The 16,763-nt window shown below is 45.3% G+C and overlaps 3 annotated features.

Annotated features, from left to right (window-relative positions):
* Positions 2,615–3,224: an enhancer, noted in NCBI's record as "NANOG-H3K4me1 hESC enhancer chr14:35802261-35802870 (GRCh37/hg19 assembly coordinates)". NCBI's record gives its function as "activates a minimal SCP1, AML or CMV promoter by ChIP-STARR-seq in naive H9 embryonic stem cells {active_cell/tissue: H9 hESC(naive)}" and the evidence as "EXISTENCE:reporter gene assay evidence [ECO:0000049][PMID:30033119]".
* Positions 3,235–4,156: an enhancer, noted in NCBI's record as "H3K27ac-H3K4me1 hESC enhancer chr14:35801329-35802250 (GRCh37/hg19 assembly coordinates)". NCBI's record gives its function as "activates a minimal SCP1, AML or CMV promoter by ChIP-STARR-seq in naive H9 embryonic stem cells {active_cell/tissue: H9 hESC(naive)}" and the evidence as "EXISTENCE:reporter gene assay evidence [ECO:0000049][PMID:30033119]".
* Positions 4,322–4,616: an enhancer, noted in NCBI's record as "tiled region #8744; HepG2 Activating DNase unmatched - State 1:Tss, and K562 Activating DNase unmatched - State 8:EnhW". NCBI's record gives its function as "activates a minimal TATA promoter and a strong SV40 promoter by Sharpr-MPRA in HepG2 and K562 cells {active_cell/tissue: HepG2 | K562}" and the evidence as "EXISTENCE:reporter gene assay evidence [ECO:0000049][PMID:27701403]".

The raw sequence follows: 16,763 nt of genomic DNA, 5'->3' as shown, positions 1-16,763 counted from the left end.
AGCCTGGCCAACATGGTGAAACCCTGTCTCTACTAAAAATACAAAAAATTAGCTGGACATGGTGGCAGGAGCCTGTAATCGCAGATACTTGGGAGGCTGAGGCAGGAGAATGGCTTGAACCCAGGAGGCAGAGGTTGCAGTGAGCTGAGATCGCGGCATTTCACTCCAGCCTGGGTGAAAGAGCGAAACTCCATCTCAAAAAAACAAGAAAACAAAAAACTATGACAGCTCAGATGCGTACATTCTAAAGTTCATCCGAACCTGGTTAATGCAGTGCTTGGCTGGCCTGGAGCCTTAGGGAAGAATATCCACGAGGCACCTGCTGTATGCTGAGCAGGTTCGCATGGAGTCCCTCTCGTTCAGTCCTTGGTTGGTGAGGGCCGCATCACAGGACAGGCTCAGCGCAGCACAAACCGAAAGAGAAATGCTTCGGACCAATGTCCTTTCTCAGTTTCTCCCGGGAAGGCCGGCTGGAGCAGGCTATTTCCAAGGCCCTGGAAATACAGGTGTTTTCCCTTCAGTCATCTCCAGAGCAGGAGCCTCCTATGTCTCAGGAAGATAAGAAGGATCCAGATGCCAGGAGGAGTGACCTCTGGACACTTGGCTGGGAGCCCAGGAGCCCTGATGCCAGGCCCAGGAAGGCCTCCCCACCCCTCTGGGGCCTAGTCAGGGGAAGGAAGGAACCAAGGAAGGGAGGGAGGGAGGAAGGAAGACACATGGGATAGGATTTCCAGACCCAAGGCCGGCAATCCTCCTGGTTCCAATCACCGGATAGGCAAGCTGGTTTGTAGTTTTCCATAGGTGACAAAAGCCAAAGGAAGGTTGCAAAATCCCTCCTGCACCAGTAGGCTTCAAGAGGTTACACTCTCAATAAGAATGTGAAATGGTAGATTCAATAAAATCTAGTGTATGATAACATAATAATTTATGTACATCTTAAAATAACTGGAATAGTGGGCCGGGTGGCTCACGCTTGTAATCCTAGCACTTTGGGAGGCTGAGGCGGGCAGATCACGAGGTCAAGAGATTGAGACCATCCTGGCCAACATGGTGAAACCCCATCTCTACTAAAAAAAATACAAAACTTAGCTGGGTGTGCTGGCGCGTGCCTGTAGTCCCAGCTACTCAGGAGGCCAAGGCAGGAGAATTGCTTGAACCCGGGAGGCAGAGGTTGTAGTGAGCCGAGATGGCGCCACTGCACTCCAGCCTGGCCAGTCTGGGCAAGAGCAAAACTCTGGCCAGGTGTGGTGGCTCACACCTGTAATCCCAGCACTTTGGGAGGCCAAGGCAGGTGGATCACGAGGTCAGGAGATCGAGGCCATCCTGGCTAACACGGTGAAACCCTGTGTCTCTACTAAAAATACAAAAAAATTAGCCGGGCGTGGTGGCGGGCGCCTGTAGTCCCAGTTACTCAGGAGGCTGAGGCAGGAGAATGGTGTGAACCCGGGAGGCGGAGCTTGCAGTGAGCCGAGATCGTGCCACTGCACTCCAGCCTGGGTGACAGAGCAAGACTCTGTCTCAAAAAAAAAAAAAGCGAAACTCTTTTCTACAGAAAGCCTGGGCTTTCTGTAGGGGCTGACTCACTTCAGGGCCCCCTGGCATGGCCTAAAGCTGTAGAGGGGAGCTGGCAGCCCCAGAAGGGCTTCATTTCCCAATCTCTCCTCCCCTTTCTCCTGGCCCCCTGGGCATCTCCACCTCTGCCCCTACCTCCCAAGCAAGCCTTGACTCACATACTCCTGAGTGGCAGCCTCTGGCCTCTCTCCATCTGTGCCACCCCCTCCTAGGACACTGGGGTGAGGAAGCCCTGGGAGGCAGGCTCTGGGTGCAGGTCAGAGGCCTCCCTGTCTGTGCTGGGGTCCAGCTGAGCCAGGGCCACTGAGCCCTTGAGGGCTCTGCAGGCCTCGGGATGGGAAGGGAAGGTGTGGGAGATGACCCTGAGCCCGGGGCGCCCCTTGGAGCTCCCAGAGGCTGTTTTGGCTCCTGGCAGGGTCAGAGCAGCTTGGTGCCATCGTGTGTGCTCCTCCAGGAGGAGAAGGCTCTAGACAGGGCAGGACTTGCCCTAAAGGCCAGGGACCCCCATAGGGAAAAGCTGCCGCCTATGGGTGTCACGAGGAAATGAGCGCCCAGGAAGAACATGGTCACCCTGAAAGAAGTAGGACGTTGTCTCCCTGGCTGAACCACAAGCCTTGCGCGGGTGACGCAGGGCCTCACCTGCTCTGCCCTGGCTGAAGAGAGACATTTGTAAACTTCAGGCTGGCTTCTGCCTGCCTGACCACACTGCTTGGGTGACAATGTTCGCAGGAAATCACATTTTGGTAGTGACTGGTCAGGATGCTGGGGAAACTTAACAGCACTAGAGAGCCGTTCTGGAAGGGCGCTGCCATACTCTGCTGCCACAGCGTAGCTGGTGTCTTCTCTGCACTTTAAATGCATTGTGTCATTTTTTCCTCATAGCACTTCTTTGAGATGGATCCTGTGGTTTATACCCCTTTTTTTCAGAAGAGAAAAACTGAGGCTGTAAATAACTCAGCTGTGGACTGAGAATTCAGTCAGGCTCTGACTGTGGGGAAGCTGGAAGTCCCAGCACTTGATTCTGGCGGCTGGAAGCCTGGGGCTGCGAGTGCCCCTTTCCGCACCCCTGTAGTCAGGGCTCTTGTCTCCTGGCTTTGGTGCTAGGATGCAGCCACCTGGAGCTGTTGGCTACGACCTGTTCAGCAGGGTCCTCCGACCCGCAGTGTTGCTGGATTGTCTGGTGTGTCAGTGTCTGGACAGGGCCTCATACGACTATTTATCTCCCTCCCAGGAGCCCCTCCCTTCAAGGTAGGCCTGGAACTAGGGTTTTTCAGAAATGAGAAATCAGCTGTGAGCACCTGCAGCCCCTCCTGCTTTAGAAGAAACAGCATAATACCCTGTTTTACAATGACCTTTTGTTTTTTTAAGTACACTTCACAGAGAAAGAAAAAGAAAAAGAAAAACCCAGAAGGGATCTCCACGTAGTCTTTGGCAGGAAAGGGGCCTCTTACAGTATTGTTGGTAGCTTTGAATCATTAGAGGCATCTGCTCACGACCTGCTGCAGGGCCCTGGGCGTGGCACTCACAGAGTCCCTCCCAGGAAGGAGGCCTGGAAGCTGGTTTTTCACAAGAAATGTCTTCATGCCCAGTCTGCTTCTGTAAAGGCCTGGACTGCCACCCTGCTGGATGCAGACAGGATGCAAAGTGGCCACAGATATCTCAGTGGCAGCTCAATAACTTGGAGGAGATACTCTGCAAGGGCCTAAATTCTTAGCCCCTGGGGAGACTTAGTCCGTCTTGGTCATCACCCTGTGCCCCGGAGCAGGGTCTGACTTACAGGAGGGGCTCAAAAATATTCGTTGATCAATAAGAAGTATTAAGAAAATGTCTCCTAAATTGACAGGAGATGGTGCAATAACATGGACCCTGTACAGCCTTCTTCCCTGGGTTCCCTCTTGAAGTACACTTTCTCAGGTGGCTGAGGACACAGAGGCACAGGGAAGCAGGTGGCCTTCCCAGGTCTCCCTGCAATGATGGGTCTCTACGGCCAATCCATTAGGATCGCTAGGCCGTTTTTTAGAGGAGGTGATTTTGCCCCCTGCCGTGTCCATCCACAACTTAGAGCTTGACCACTGTCACTTACAAAATGCCAGCACAGCCATCTTCACCGACAATTTTTTGCCCTCCCTCTTGATGAGGACTTGTATAAGTTCCTAGAAAAAGTGGCAGCCAGGCGCCTGGAGGCTGCCCAAGCAGCGTGGCCCCAGTTTTACCGAGCGGGGCAAACAGGTCTCTGAGGTAGTTATTAAGCAGACGGCTAGACGCGGCCAACATCCGCACTGCTGCTCACGGCCTCTATCCCTGGAAAACCCCAGCTAGGCCCGGCACTCTGGGGCTGTTCGCTGGGGCTCTCCCCAGATCATCCCTCTTCTGCCCAGGGAACAGGTCTTTCCTGTTCTTCTTCTGCTTCTCCTTTTCTTCCTCATTCCAGTCCTCAGTGGAGACTTAATCACCGTAGTGCACTCGGTGAAACCTAAACCACTGTGTTAACTCTGAGGTTTACAGGTCACCCCCCTGCAGTAAGGCCAGAGCCTGATTTCTGTGGAAAGCACACCCCTAATCCAAACGATCTTCTTGTGATAAAGGGGTGTCAGCAGCTTCACCAAAGTTTATGCCACTCCACTTGCCATTTGGGACAATGCATTTCCTTCGTCTAAATGCACATTTCCCTACATTCCCCTCGTATCTCTGGATGTGGGAGAGGCCTCTCAATGACAAGGGGCTGCAGCAGGGCCCGGTGGAGCTGCCACAAGCCCTGGAAAGGGGAGCCCCAGGCTGAGGTTGCTGCTAAGAGTTAATTACTGTTAGACATTTGCATTTGTTATCCCCTGGTCTGGCTGCTGGAGTCGAGGATGACGTCAGCAAAGGCACAGATGACATAAGCCTAAGGCACAAGGTCACCTTCTGAAAATGCATTTGACTCAGCACACCAGTAAGCTGCCCACTGACCAAGAGAGCAGCACAGGCGGATGAGCCCCAAATACACTTGACTGTGATCTTGTCACCTGCAGCCGCTGCCCACAGTGCTTCCCAAGCAGTAGCATACTCCAGGCCTGACTGGGCCACACTCTCGAAAGACTCATGCCCACAGCAGTGTCCTGCGAGACTTGGACTTGATAGACCAGGGCTGAGGGCCTAGAACTTTATAGCCTGGAACTCCTGGGCTCAAGCAATTCTCCCACCTCAGCCTCCCAATTAGCTGGGGTTACAGGCATGTGCCACCGGGCCCAGCTAATATTTTAATTTTTTTTTTTGAGACGGAGTCTCGCTCTGTTGCCCAGGCTGGAGGGCAGTGGCGTGATCTCGGCTCACCGCAACCTCCGTCTCCCGGATTCAAGCAATTCTCCTGCCTCAGTCTCCCAAGTAGCTGGGACTACAGACGTACACCACCATGGCTGGCTAATTTTTTTTTTTTTTTTTTTTGAGACAGAGTCTTGCTCTGTCACCAGGCTGGAGTGCAGTGGCACTGTCTCAGTTCACTGCAACCTTTGCCTCCTGGGTTTAAGTGATTCTCCTGCCTCAGCCTCCCAAGTAGCTGGGATTACAGGTGCGTGCCACCATGCATGGCTAATTTTTTGTATTTTAGTAGAGATGGGGTTTTACCATGTTGGCCAGGCTGGTCTTGATCTCCTGACCTCGTGATCCGTTCACCTTGGCCTTCCAAATTGCTGGGATTACAGGCGTGAGCCACTGCGTCTGTCCATTTTTTGTGTTTTTAGTAGAGACGGGGTTTCATTATGTTGGGCAGGCTGGTCTTGAACTCCTGACCTCATGATCCGCCCACCTCGGCCTCCCAGAGTGCTGGGATTACAGGCATGAACCACCTTGCCTGGCCAATATTTTAATTTTTTGTAGAAACAGGGTCTCCCTGTGTTGCCCACGCTAGTCTGGAGCTCCTGGGCTCAAGTGATCCTCCCGCCTCCGCCTCCCAAAGTGCTGGGATTACAGGCATGAGCCACCGCGCCCATCCAAACTGAGCAGATTGTGTGGAGAGTTCACCACCCCACATCAACTTTCCCTATTATCAGTATCTTGCTTTGGTGTGGCACATTTGTTACAATTCATGAACTAATACTGACACATTATTATTAAAGTCCATATTTTATATTAAGGCTTACTTTTTGTATTGTACATTTCTATGGGGTTTGATAAAGGCAAATGTCATGCATCCATGATTACCATACCAAACCCAGGTTTCACTGCCCTGAACTGGTGTTTCACCTATTCATCCCTCTCCACTTCCCATTTCTTCCCACCCCACTCTGAACTCCCAGCAACCGTTATCTTTTTTTTTTTTTTCTTGAGACGGACTTTTGCTCTTGTTGCCCAGGCTGGAGTGCAGTGGCGCAATCTCGGCTCACTGCAACCTCCGCCTCCCAGGTTCAAGCGATTCTCCTGCCTCAGCCTCCCAAGTAGCTGGGATTACAGGCATGCGCCACCATGTCCAGCTAATTTTGTATTTTTAGTAGAGATGGGGTTTCTCCATGTTGGTCAGTCTGGTCTCAAACTCCCAACCTCAGGTGATCCGCTCGCCTTGGCCTCCCAAAGTGCTGGGATTACAGGTGTGAGCCACCACACCCCACCAACCATTCTTTTTTTACTGTCTCTATAGTTTTTACTTTTCCAGAAAGTCATATAGTTGGATTCATACAGTAAGTAACCTTTTCAGATGGGCTTCTTTCACCTGCAATATGCACTTAAGATTTTTCCATGTCTTTTTGTGGCTTGATAGCTCATTTTATTTTAGTGCCGAATAATATTTCATGGTATAGATGCACAACAGTTTGTTTTCCACTCACCTATTGAAGGTCATCTTGCTTGCTTCTGGTTTTTGGCAATTGTTATTATTATTCTGTTTTGTTTTGTTTTGAGACAAGGTCTCACTCTGTCACCCAGGCTGGAGTGCAGTGATGCGATCTCAGCTCACTGCAACTTCCACCTCCCGGGTTCAAGTGATTCTCCTGCCTCAGCCTCCTGAGTAGCTGGGATTATAGGCATGCGCCACCATGCCCGAAAAATTTTTGTATTTTTAGTAGAGATGGGGTTTCACTATGTTGGCCAGGCTAGTCTCGAGCTCCTGGCCAGAAGTGATCCACCCGCCTCGGCCTCCCAAAGAGCTGGGATTACAGGCATGAGCCACCTTGCCCAGCCTGTTTTTTTGCAATTATGAAGAAAGCTGCTTTATAAACATTTGTTTGTGAGGTTTTTGTGTGGCTATAAGCTGGATTTTACACTAATAGTGTTTAGCTTTGTAAGAACTGCTCAGCTGTCTTCCAGGTGGCTGTACCATTTCGCATTCCCACCAGTTACTGCTGCTCTGCACCCTTGCTAGTAGTATTTGGTACTGTTATTAAAAAAACTTTTTTTTTTTTTGGACTGGTGAGTTGGCTTACGCCTTTAATCCTAGCACTTTGGGAGGCCTAGGCAGGCAGATTACCTGAGGTCAGGAGTTCAAGACGAGCCTAGCCAACATAGTGAAACTCTGTCTCTACCAAAAATACAAAAAGTTAGCTGGGTGCAGTGGCTCACACCTGTAATCCCAGCTACTCAGGAGGCTGAGGCAGGAGAATCGCTTGAACCTGGGAGGCGGAGGTTGCAGTGAGCTGAGATCCCGCCACTGCACTACAGCCTGGGCAACAGAGCAAGACTCATCTCAAAAAAAAAAAATTCGCCATTCTAATAGATATGTAGTGGCATCTCAGTGTTGTTTTAATTTGCAATTCCTGATGGCCTATGATGTTTAGCATTTTTTCTTTTTTTTTTTTTGAGACGGAGTCTGGCTCTGTTGCCAGGATGGAGTGCAGTGGCACGATCTTGGCTCACTGCAAACTCCACCTCCCAGATTCAAGTGATTCTAGTGCCTCAGCCTCCCCAGTAGTGAGGGTTATAGGCACATGCCACCACGCCCAGCTAATTTTTGTATTTCTAGTAGAGACAGGTTTTCACCATGTTGGCCAGGATGGTCTCAATCTCTTGACCTCGTGATCTGCCTGCCTCAGCCTCCCAAAGTGCTGGGATACAGGCATGAGCCACCGCACCCAGCCAATGAGCATCTTTTCATATACTTAATTTCCATCTGCTTATCTTCTTTGGTGAGGTGTCTGTTTAGATCCTTTGCCAATTTTTAAATTGTTTTCTCATTGTTGAATTTTAGGAATCCTTCGTGTATTTTGGATATCAGTTATCATATATGTGTTTTGCAAATATTTTATCCCAATCTATAGCTCGTCTTTTCATTCTCTTAATGTTTTTTTCACAGAGCACAAGTTTTTAATTTACTAAAGTCCAATTCATCAATTTTTTTCTTTCATGGATTGTGCTGCTGATATTGTATCTGAAAACTCATTGCCAAACCCAAGTCACCTACATTTCCTCTCGTATTATTATCTGAAAGTTTCATAATGTGAAACTTTTACATTAAGTCTATAATCCACTTCGAGTTAATTTTTGTGAAAAGTGTAAGGCCTGTGTCTAGATTCATGTTTTTCCATGTGGCTGTCCAATTGTTACAGCACTATTTATCAAAAATACGATTCTTTCTCCATTGAATTACCATTGTTCCTTTGTCAAAGTTCAGTTGATTATATGTTTGTGGGTCTATTTCTGGGATCTTTATTCTGTTTTATTAATCTATTTGTCTTTTCTTTCATCAATATCATGTTGTCTTGATTACTGTTGCTTTATATTAAGTATTGATAGTCAGATAGTGTCAGTCTTCCGGGGGGACTTTGTTCTTCTTGAGTGTTTTCATTATCATGTTGGTTATTCTGGGTTTTTGGCACTTCTAGATAAACTTTAGAATCAGTTTGTCAATATCCACAAAATAACTTGCTGAGTTTTGACTGGAATTTGTTGAATCTATAGATCAAGTTGGGAAGAAATAACATCTTGACAATATTGAGTTTTCCTATCTATGAATATGGAGTATCTCTCCATTTATTTAGATCTTTGATTTCTTTCATCAGAATTTTGTAGTTTTTCTCATAAAGATCCTGTGTATATTTTGATATATGCCTAAGTCTTTTATTTTGTTAGTGCTAATGTAAATGGTGTCGTGTTTTAATTTCAAATTCAAATTGTTCATTGCTGTTATATAGGAAAGCAATTAACTTTTATATATTACCTTTATATCTTGCAACCGTCCTATAAATGCTTAGTAGTTCCAGGAGCTTTTCCCCCCACCTTGTTTACATTGTTGACATCTTAGACTTTGTAAACAATCTTATATCCTGATTTCCCCCAATTGTGTCATAAATGTTTTTGATGCCGTTTTATTTGTTTTTTTAGAGACAGGGATTCACTCTGTCACCCAGGCTGAAGTGCAATGGTGTGATTATAGGTCAGTGCAGCCTCAACCTCCTGGAGTCATGCTATCCTCCCACCTCAGCCTCCCAAGTTACTGAGCCCTCAGGCACACACCACCATGCCTGGTTAATTTTTTGTTTTTTTGTAGAGATGTTGCCCAAGCTTGGTCTCAAACTCCTGGTCTCAAGCTCCTGGTCTCAAGCGATTCTCCCTGCCTTGGCCTCCCAAAGTGCTGGGATTACAAGTGTGAGCCACCACACCCAGACTCAGTATCATTTTATTCTTTTAAAAGATTTTTGGTGGTGGGGCGCAGTGGCTCACGCCTGTAATCCCAGCACTTTGGGAGGCCGAGGCAGGCGGATCACCTCAGGTCGGGAGTTCAAGACCAGCCTGACCAACATGGAGAAACCCCATCTCTACTAAAAATACAAAATTAGCCGGGCACGGTGGCGCATGCCTGTAATCCCAGCTACTCGGGAGGCTGAGGCAGGAGAATCGCTTGAACCCGGGAGGCAGAGGTTGTGGTGAGCCGAGATCACGCCATTGCACTCCAGCCTGGGCGACAAGAGCAAAACTCTGTCTCAAAAAAAAAAAAAAAAAAAAAACAACAATTTTGGCAGCAAAGTATTTTATTGATCTGTAATTTCTTAATCAGTTTCCTTTTGCTGTATATCTGGGGTATTTTCAATTTCTTCATACATGTTTCTTATTTTAAATATGGAAAATGCAGAAGAATATAAGGGAAAAAATGCCCTTGTAATTTCACCAGAATAACCACTGTTGCCATTCGATCCTCTTCCTTCTACTGTTTCCCTTATGCCAGTGGTTCTCCTTTATTGGCAAATAGACTTATTTGAATATCTGATAAAAGCTATGGGCTTCTCCCAGGAAATTAGGACATGCACCAAATTTTGCATACAGCTTCAGAGTTCTAGGGACATCTATAGCCCATCCCAGAAATGCCCCCCAACAAGAAGCTGGGACATTGATCCATCAGCTCCAGTTGGCATTATTTACCCCAAAGTTTCAGGCTGTATTAGGCTTGCACAGCCTGAGCAGGTTTTCCTGATTTCAGAGAAAGCCCTGAGGCAGGGAAGCAGAGAACTGCACAAAGTACTTTCTGGGTGGGATGCCGTTGGCAGGAGTCAGGACTATCCACCATGGTATGGCAGAAATGAGGAAGGCAGAGTACCAAAATGTCTGCTGCAGGGATCACACTGCATATTTTATTCCATTTTTTTAAACATAATATTACATTTGTAAATGTTTTCCATATCATTAAATATTCTTCAAAACAGAGGTTTTAGTGGCCGCATAATATTCCACAGTATTGAATGCAATGGAATTTATCATTGTATATAAAATTATATTGTTGTATATAAAAATTACTCTGACACAATTCCTCATCTCTAATTACTTCTCTTAGACACATTCTTACAAATGGGTAACTTTTCTTTCTTTCTTTTTTTTTTTTTTTTGGTTCTCGATGCATATTTCCATGTTGCCCTCCAGAAAGATGTTTGTACTTCCACCAGCAAAAGGAGTAGCTAACTTTAATTGTTTTTTTGAGGTGGAGTCTTGCTCTGGCACAGGCTGGAGTGCAATAGCGCAATCTCAGCTCACTGCAAACTCCGCCTCCCGGGTTCAAGTAATTCTCCTACCTCAGCCTCCTGAGTAGCTGGGACTACAGGCACATGCCACCACACCCAGCTATTTTTTATTTTTTAGTAGAGATGGGGATTTCATCATATTGGCCAGGCTGGTCTTGAACTCCTGATCTAGTGATCTGCTCGCCTTGGCCTCCCAAAGTGCTGGGATTACAAGCGTGAGCCACTGAGCATGGCCTGGAGTAGCTAACTTTTAATATACTTCATCACTCCTTCATACAACAAATACTTATGAAACACTTGCAATATACCAAGTATATTATGTGCTATTAATGTAAAAGTCTTAGTAATTTGATAGAAAATATGTTATCTTGTAATTTTCATTTTAAAATTATTGAGTTTTTAGGTTTAGACTAGAAAATTTTCGTGACTTGTCTGTTGTTGTTATATTTTTCTATTTATGTGTTAATATTTTCTCCTATTTGAACTTTGTTTATGGGGTCTTATTAACAAAATTTTACATTTTTAAGTAGTGAAATATATAGATGTTTTCCCTTCATGATTTTTATCCATTGTTATTTTATTTTTTATCATTTATTTATTTTTTGAGATGGAGTTTTGCTGTTGTCACCCAGATTGGAGTGCAATGGTGCAATCTTGGCTCACTGCAACCTCTTCCTCCCAGATTCAAGCGATTCTCCTCCCTCAGCCTTTTGAGTAGCTGGGATTACAGGTGTCCACCATAAGGCCTGGCTAATTTTTTGTATTTTTAGTAGAGACGGGGTTTCAAGGCTGGTCTCGAACTCCTGTTCTCAGCTGATCTGCCCACCTCGGCCTCCCAAAGTGCATTGTTGTTCTTTAGAAAGTGGATCTCCATGTGGAGATCTGTTTTTCAACTAAACTATTTTATTTTCTGTCTCTTTTTCCTTCTTCTAGCTCTTTTTAAATATATATATATTTTTAATTACCTTGTGAAGCCTCTTAGATTTTATTTTGTTGTAAGATGTAAGACAAAGAATATTTTTTCCTACATAGTTATTTTCTCCCTAGAATTATTTTCCCATTGATACGTGGTGCTAATTTTATCATATATTAAATTCTTATATATGCTAAGGTCTGTTGCTTGGCAATTCTAAGTTTTAAAAACACATTTTTTTTTTTTTAGTATTTTGACTAGAATGACTTTAAGTCTACACATTAGTTTGGAAAAGAACTGACTTTACAATAGTCAGCACTTCCATCTAGCAGCAGGAGGTCTCGCAGTCAAGTTTTTTACTTTCCTTCACATGGGTCAATATTTCCAGTTAGAACGATTCCTATCTATATTTTTGTTGCTATTGTGCTGTACTTACATAATTTTCTAAACATTTATTCCTGGTATATAGGAAAGGTATTTACTTTTTATACATTTTTGGGATGGTTGGGAAGGGGGCAATCTGAGAAAAAGTGACTGTAGATTTCGTCTAACATCCTGACAAAGATGCATCTTGAAGTCAGACTATTGTGTGTTCTAGTCCTGTCATTGACACATTGTAGTTGTGTGATCCTGGCCAAATTACTTAACTTGGACTCAGTTTTTGTTTTCGTTTTTGTTTGTTTGTTTTTACCCGCAACAGGGGAATAATAATAGTATAAGTCTATTATTCTTTATCCAAAAGGCATGGGGCCAGGTTCTTTTCTTTCTTTCTTTCTTTTTAAACAGAGTCTCACTCTGTGGCCCAGGCTGGAGTGCAGTGGTGCAATCTTGGCTCACTGCAACCTCTGCCTCCCAGGTTCAAGCGATTCTTGTGCCTCAGCCTCCCGAGTACCTGGGACTACAGGCGTGCGCCACCACGCCTAATTTTTTTTTGTATTTTTAATAGAGACGGGGTTTTGCTATGTTACCCAAGCTGGTCTCGAACTCCTGAGCTCAGGCAATCTGCCCACCTCGGCCTCCCCAGCGAGGATTATAAGCATGAGCCACCACGCCTGGCACAGATGCGTTCGGAATATAATGTATTTTGGATTTTAGAGTGGTAATATGATGTCTAAACCATATATTCCATAACTCTACCACTGGAGTCTGGGGCAGCACCCTATAATTAAGCACATTCATATTTCTGCAGAAATAAAGTGAGATATAAAAAGCCAGTTGAGTTTTAAGAACTTCCTGAATTTTGGAACTGTAGACAAGCAAATTATAAATGTTCAACTTAAACCAGTTTAAAGGATATTGTATCTAAAACAGGGCCTGTCCCAATAAAGACTAATACTTTATTAGGTCACTTTCTTATTTTTTTAGGTAAATAATCTAAATAGTAGATTATAATTCTATCTCCATTCCAATACCTCTTAATTTCATTTCTTATTGTATCAGCTGGAATTTCCAGAATGTAAAATAAATGGAGTTAGAAGCCATCTTGGAGCCAGGTATGGTGGCTGTAATCCCGCCTGTAATTCCAACACTGGGAAGCTGAGGCAGGAGGATGGCTTGAGCCCAGGAGTTGGACACCAGTCTGGGCAACATGGCGAGACCCTGCCTCTACAAAAATAAAACAGGCTTGGCGTGGTGGCTCACGCCTGTAATCCCAGAACTTTGGGAGGCCGAGGCAGGTGGATCACGAGGTTAGGAGTTGGAGACCAGCCTGACCAACATGGTGAAACCTCGTCTCTATTAAAAATACAAAAATTAGCTGGGCGTGGTGGCACGCGCCTGTAATCCCAGCTACTCAGGAGGCTGAGGCAAGAGAATCACTTGAACCTGGGAGCGGAGGTTGCAGCGAGCCGAGATCGTGCCCCTCCACTCCAACCTGGGTGACAGAAGGAGACTCCGTCTCAAAGAATAAAAATAAATAAAAATAAAAAAATTTAAACTAATTCACCATTATGATGTTAATTAGCTTAGCTGTCATTTTAGATTTTTGTTTGTTTTTTTGAGACAGGTGTCTCATTCTGTCCCCCAGACTGGAGTGCAGTGGCGTGACCACAGCTTACTATAGCCTCGACCTCTTGGGCTCAAGTGATCCTCTCACCTCAGCCTCCTGAGTAGCTAGACTACAGGTGTGTGCCCCTACGTGAAGATCCTTAATGTAATAATTTGGTTGTGTCACAAATCTGGATCTTGGATTTGGAGGCTAGTGAGGGAGCTGAGTACCTGGTTTGTTGCTGACTTGTAACCTAAATGGTACAGTAACTGCTTATGAAAAATGAGGTATCAAGAGAAGGAAAGCCTCATGTCTACCCAAATAGCTTCACGTTCATGAATGTCTGGACATATCCTCTGAGTGTCAGAATTATTATATTTCTCATATTTAAAAAATCATATCTGTATTTTTTTTTGAGACAGTCTAGCTCTCTTGCCTAGGCTGAAGTGCAGTGGCGGGATCTCGGCTCACTGCAACCTCTGCCTCCCGGGTTCAAACGATTCTCCTGCCTCAGCCCCCTAAGTAGCTGGGACTACAGGTGTGCGCCCCCATGCCCAGCTAATTTTTGTATTTTTTAGTAGAGATGGGGTTTTACCAAGTTGGCCAGGCTGGTCTCGAGCTTCTGACCTCAAGTGATCCACCCCCCTTGGCCTCCCAGTGCCAGGATTACAGGCATAAGCCACTGTGTTTGGCCTCATATCTGTATTCTTATATTTATTGATTGATTTTTAGATGGAGTCTCACTCTGTTGCCCAGGCTGGAGTACAGTGGTCCGATCTCAGCTCACTGCAACCTTGGCCTCCCGGGTTCAAGTGATTCTCCTGCCGCAGCCTCCTGAGTAGCTGGAATTACAGGTGCACGCCACCACATCTGGCTAATTTTTGTATTTTTGTAGATACTGGGTTTCGCCATGTTGGCCAGGCTGGTCTTGAACTCCTGACCTGAAGTGATCCGCCTGCCTGGGCCTCCCAAAGTGCTGGGATTACAGGCGTGAGCCACTGTGCCTGGTATGTGTATTTCTTACTAATCAAAATGTTCTTTGAGTAAAGATATTTAAAGATTTCAGGCATTTTTCTTGGCATTTTGTATAACCTTTCTGCATTAACCCTTTGTTATCCATTCCAGGTAGTTTGTTTAGAAAACAAAACAAGAAACAGATTGATTGAGACAGAGTTTCACTCTTGTTGCCCAGGCTGGGGTGCAATGGCATGATCTTGGCTCACTGCAACCTCCACCTCCCAGGTTCAAGCGATTCTCCTGCCTCAGCCTCCCGAGTAGCTGGGATTACAGGCATGTGCCACCATGCCCGGCTAATTTTTTTTTAGTATAGACAGGGTTTCGCCATGTTGGTCAGGCTGCTTTTGAACTCCCGATCTCAGGTGATCTGCCTGCCTCAGCCTCCCAAAGTGCTGGGATTACAGGCATGAGCCACTGCGCCCAGCCAGAATTAGAGTATTTAATGTCCACCCTTTTATTTTCATTATTAGAGAAAGGGTCTTGCTTTGCCACCCAGCCTGGAGTACAGTGTTGTGATCATAGTTTACTACAGCCTTGAATTCCTGGGCTCAAGTGACCCTCCCACTTAAGCCTCCCAAGTAGCTAGGACTCCAGGTGTGTGTGCACCACCACAATTGACCTAATTTTAAATTTTTCTGTAGAGACAAAATGTTGCCACACTGGTCTTGGGCTCCCAGTGTATTGGGGACTATAGGCATGAGCTACTGTACCCAGCCTAATGTTCACCTATTTAAAATGATCTATTTCTTCTCATTCTTTTAATTAAGCATAAACAACCAATATTTAAAACTATTCTATATTTAATCCTAATTCATCTAGATTTTGCCTTATAATGTAAAAACTTACTTTCTAACAAATTACAGAATTTTAGTTTTTCACCTCTGAAAAGGAGCCCCTAACAGTAAAACTGAATTAGTTGCTAGTCTCTCATCCACTGATTCTAGGAGGGTGACATCAGTCAAGGCTCTAAGGGTGTGGAAATTCAGCTTGTCTTTAGAGGATTAGCCCTTTTACATAGACCCCACTTTCGAAACGATGGCAGCACTTTCAAAGAGCCTAGTGGATTAGGATGGGTAATCCTAGAACAACCTGGAAGAACAAGGAAGAACCCTGCTTCCTTGTTAGGAAATTTTACTATTCCTGACAGCTCTGAAGAGGATGTGGTTGGTGAAGTTTCCTGCTTCTACTGGTCATATGTTTATGTGGCCTCCCCTTGTGTGGCCCTGGTGGCTGCAGAAACAGGGGCAACTCTAATTTCAGGGACTGGCATGAGACCAGCAGCCACACTCACCTGCATGAGGTCAACAGCACCAGACTTCCTCTGTGCAAAAGAGGACACAAAATGTATTACCCTTAGACTTTCCAAGATTTTTTAATCATCTCTAATTAGTGGTTCAGGTCACCAGTCTAGGGACTTTAAAAAATCCTGTACATTAAAAAAAACATAGGCTACAGCTGAGTGCGGTGGCTTACAGCTGTAATCCCAGCACTTTGGGAGGCCGAGCCAGGTGGATCACGAGGTCAGGAGTTCGAGACCAGCCTGGCCAACATGGTGAAACCCCGTCTCTACTAAAAATACAAAAATAATAATAATAATAATAATAATTAGCCGGGCATGGTGCCAGGTGCCTGTAATCCCAGCTACTCAGGAGGCTGAGGCAGTAGAGTCACTTGATCCCGGGAGGTGGAAGTTGCAGTGAGCCAAGATCACGCCACTGCACTCTAGCCTGGACGATAGAGCAAGACTCTGTCTCAAAAAAAAAAAAAAGTTACCATGAATATACAGTTTGTTCTTTCTTCCTGAACATTGTGATGCTGGGTCTCTAAACTTTAATATAAACCAATTCCTTAATGTTATCTTCAAGTACTTATTATTAAGGAGGCACAGAAACTACACACATTCTATGACTTTTCTAGCCCTGTTTCCTGAAGGTAACTAAAATTTCTACCCTTGAAAATACTGGTTCTTAATGAGTATAAATGCTTTTCTCAAAACTATGGAAGATCATACTAATCCTTTTATTATAGTTAAAGCATTCAGTGGGACTTGGAGTCCACATTCAGTAGTATCTTGTTTGAATGAGAAATTGTAAAATAAAGGCCTTTCCTCACATGCCAACTTACGGTCAGGGTGGATTTCTTTTTGGAGACCGGGTCTTACTCTGTCACCCAAGCTTAAGTGCAGTGGCACAATCACAACTCACTGCAGCATCAGACTCCTGGGCTCAAGTGATCCTCTTGCCTTAGCCTCCTGAGTAGCTGGGACTACAGGTGCAGGCTACCATGCCCAGCTAATTAAAAATTTTTTGTAGAGACGAGGTCTTGCTATGTAGTCCAGGCTCATCACAAACTCCCGGCC

Source organism: Homo sapiens, chromosome 14 (assembly GCF_000001405.40).
Source record: "Homo sapiens chromosome 14, GRCh38.p14 Primary Assembly".
NCBI lineage: Eukaryota > Metazoa > Chordata > Mammalia > Primates > Hominidae > Homo > Homo sapiens.
Note: the sequence above shows the minus strand (reverse complement) of the source record. Positions and strands in the feature narration are given on the sequence as shown.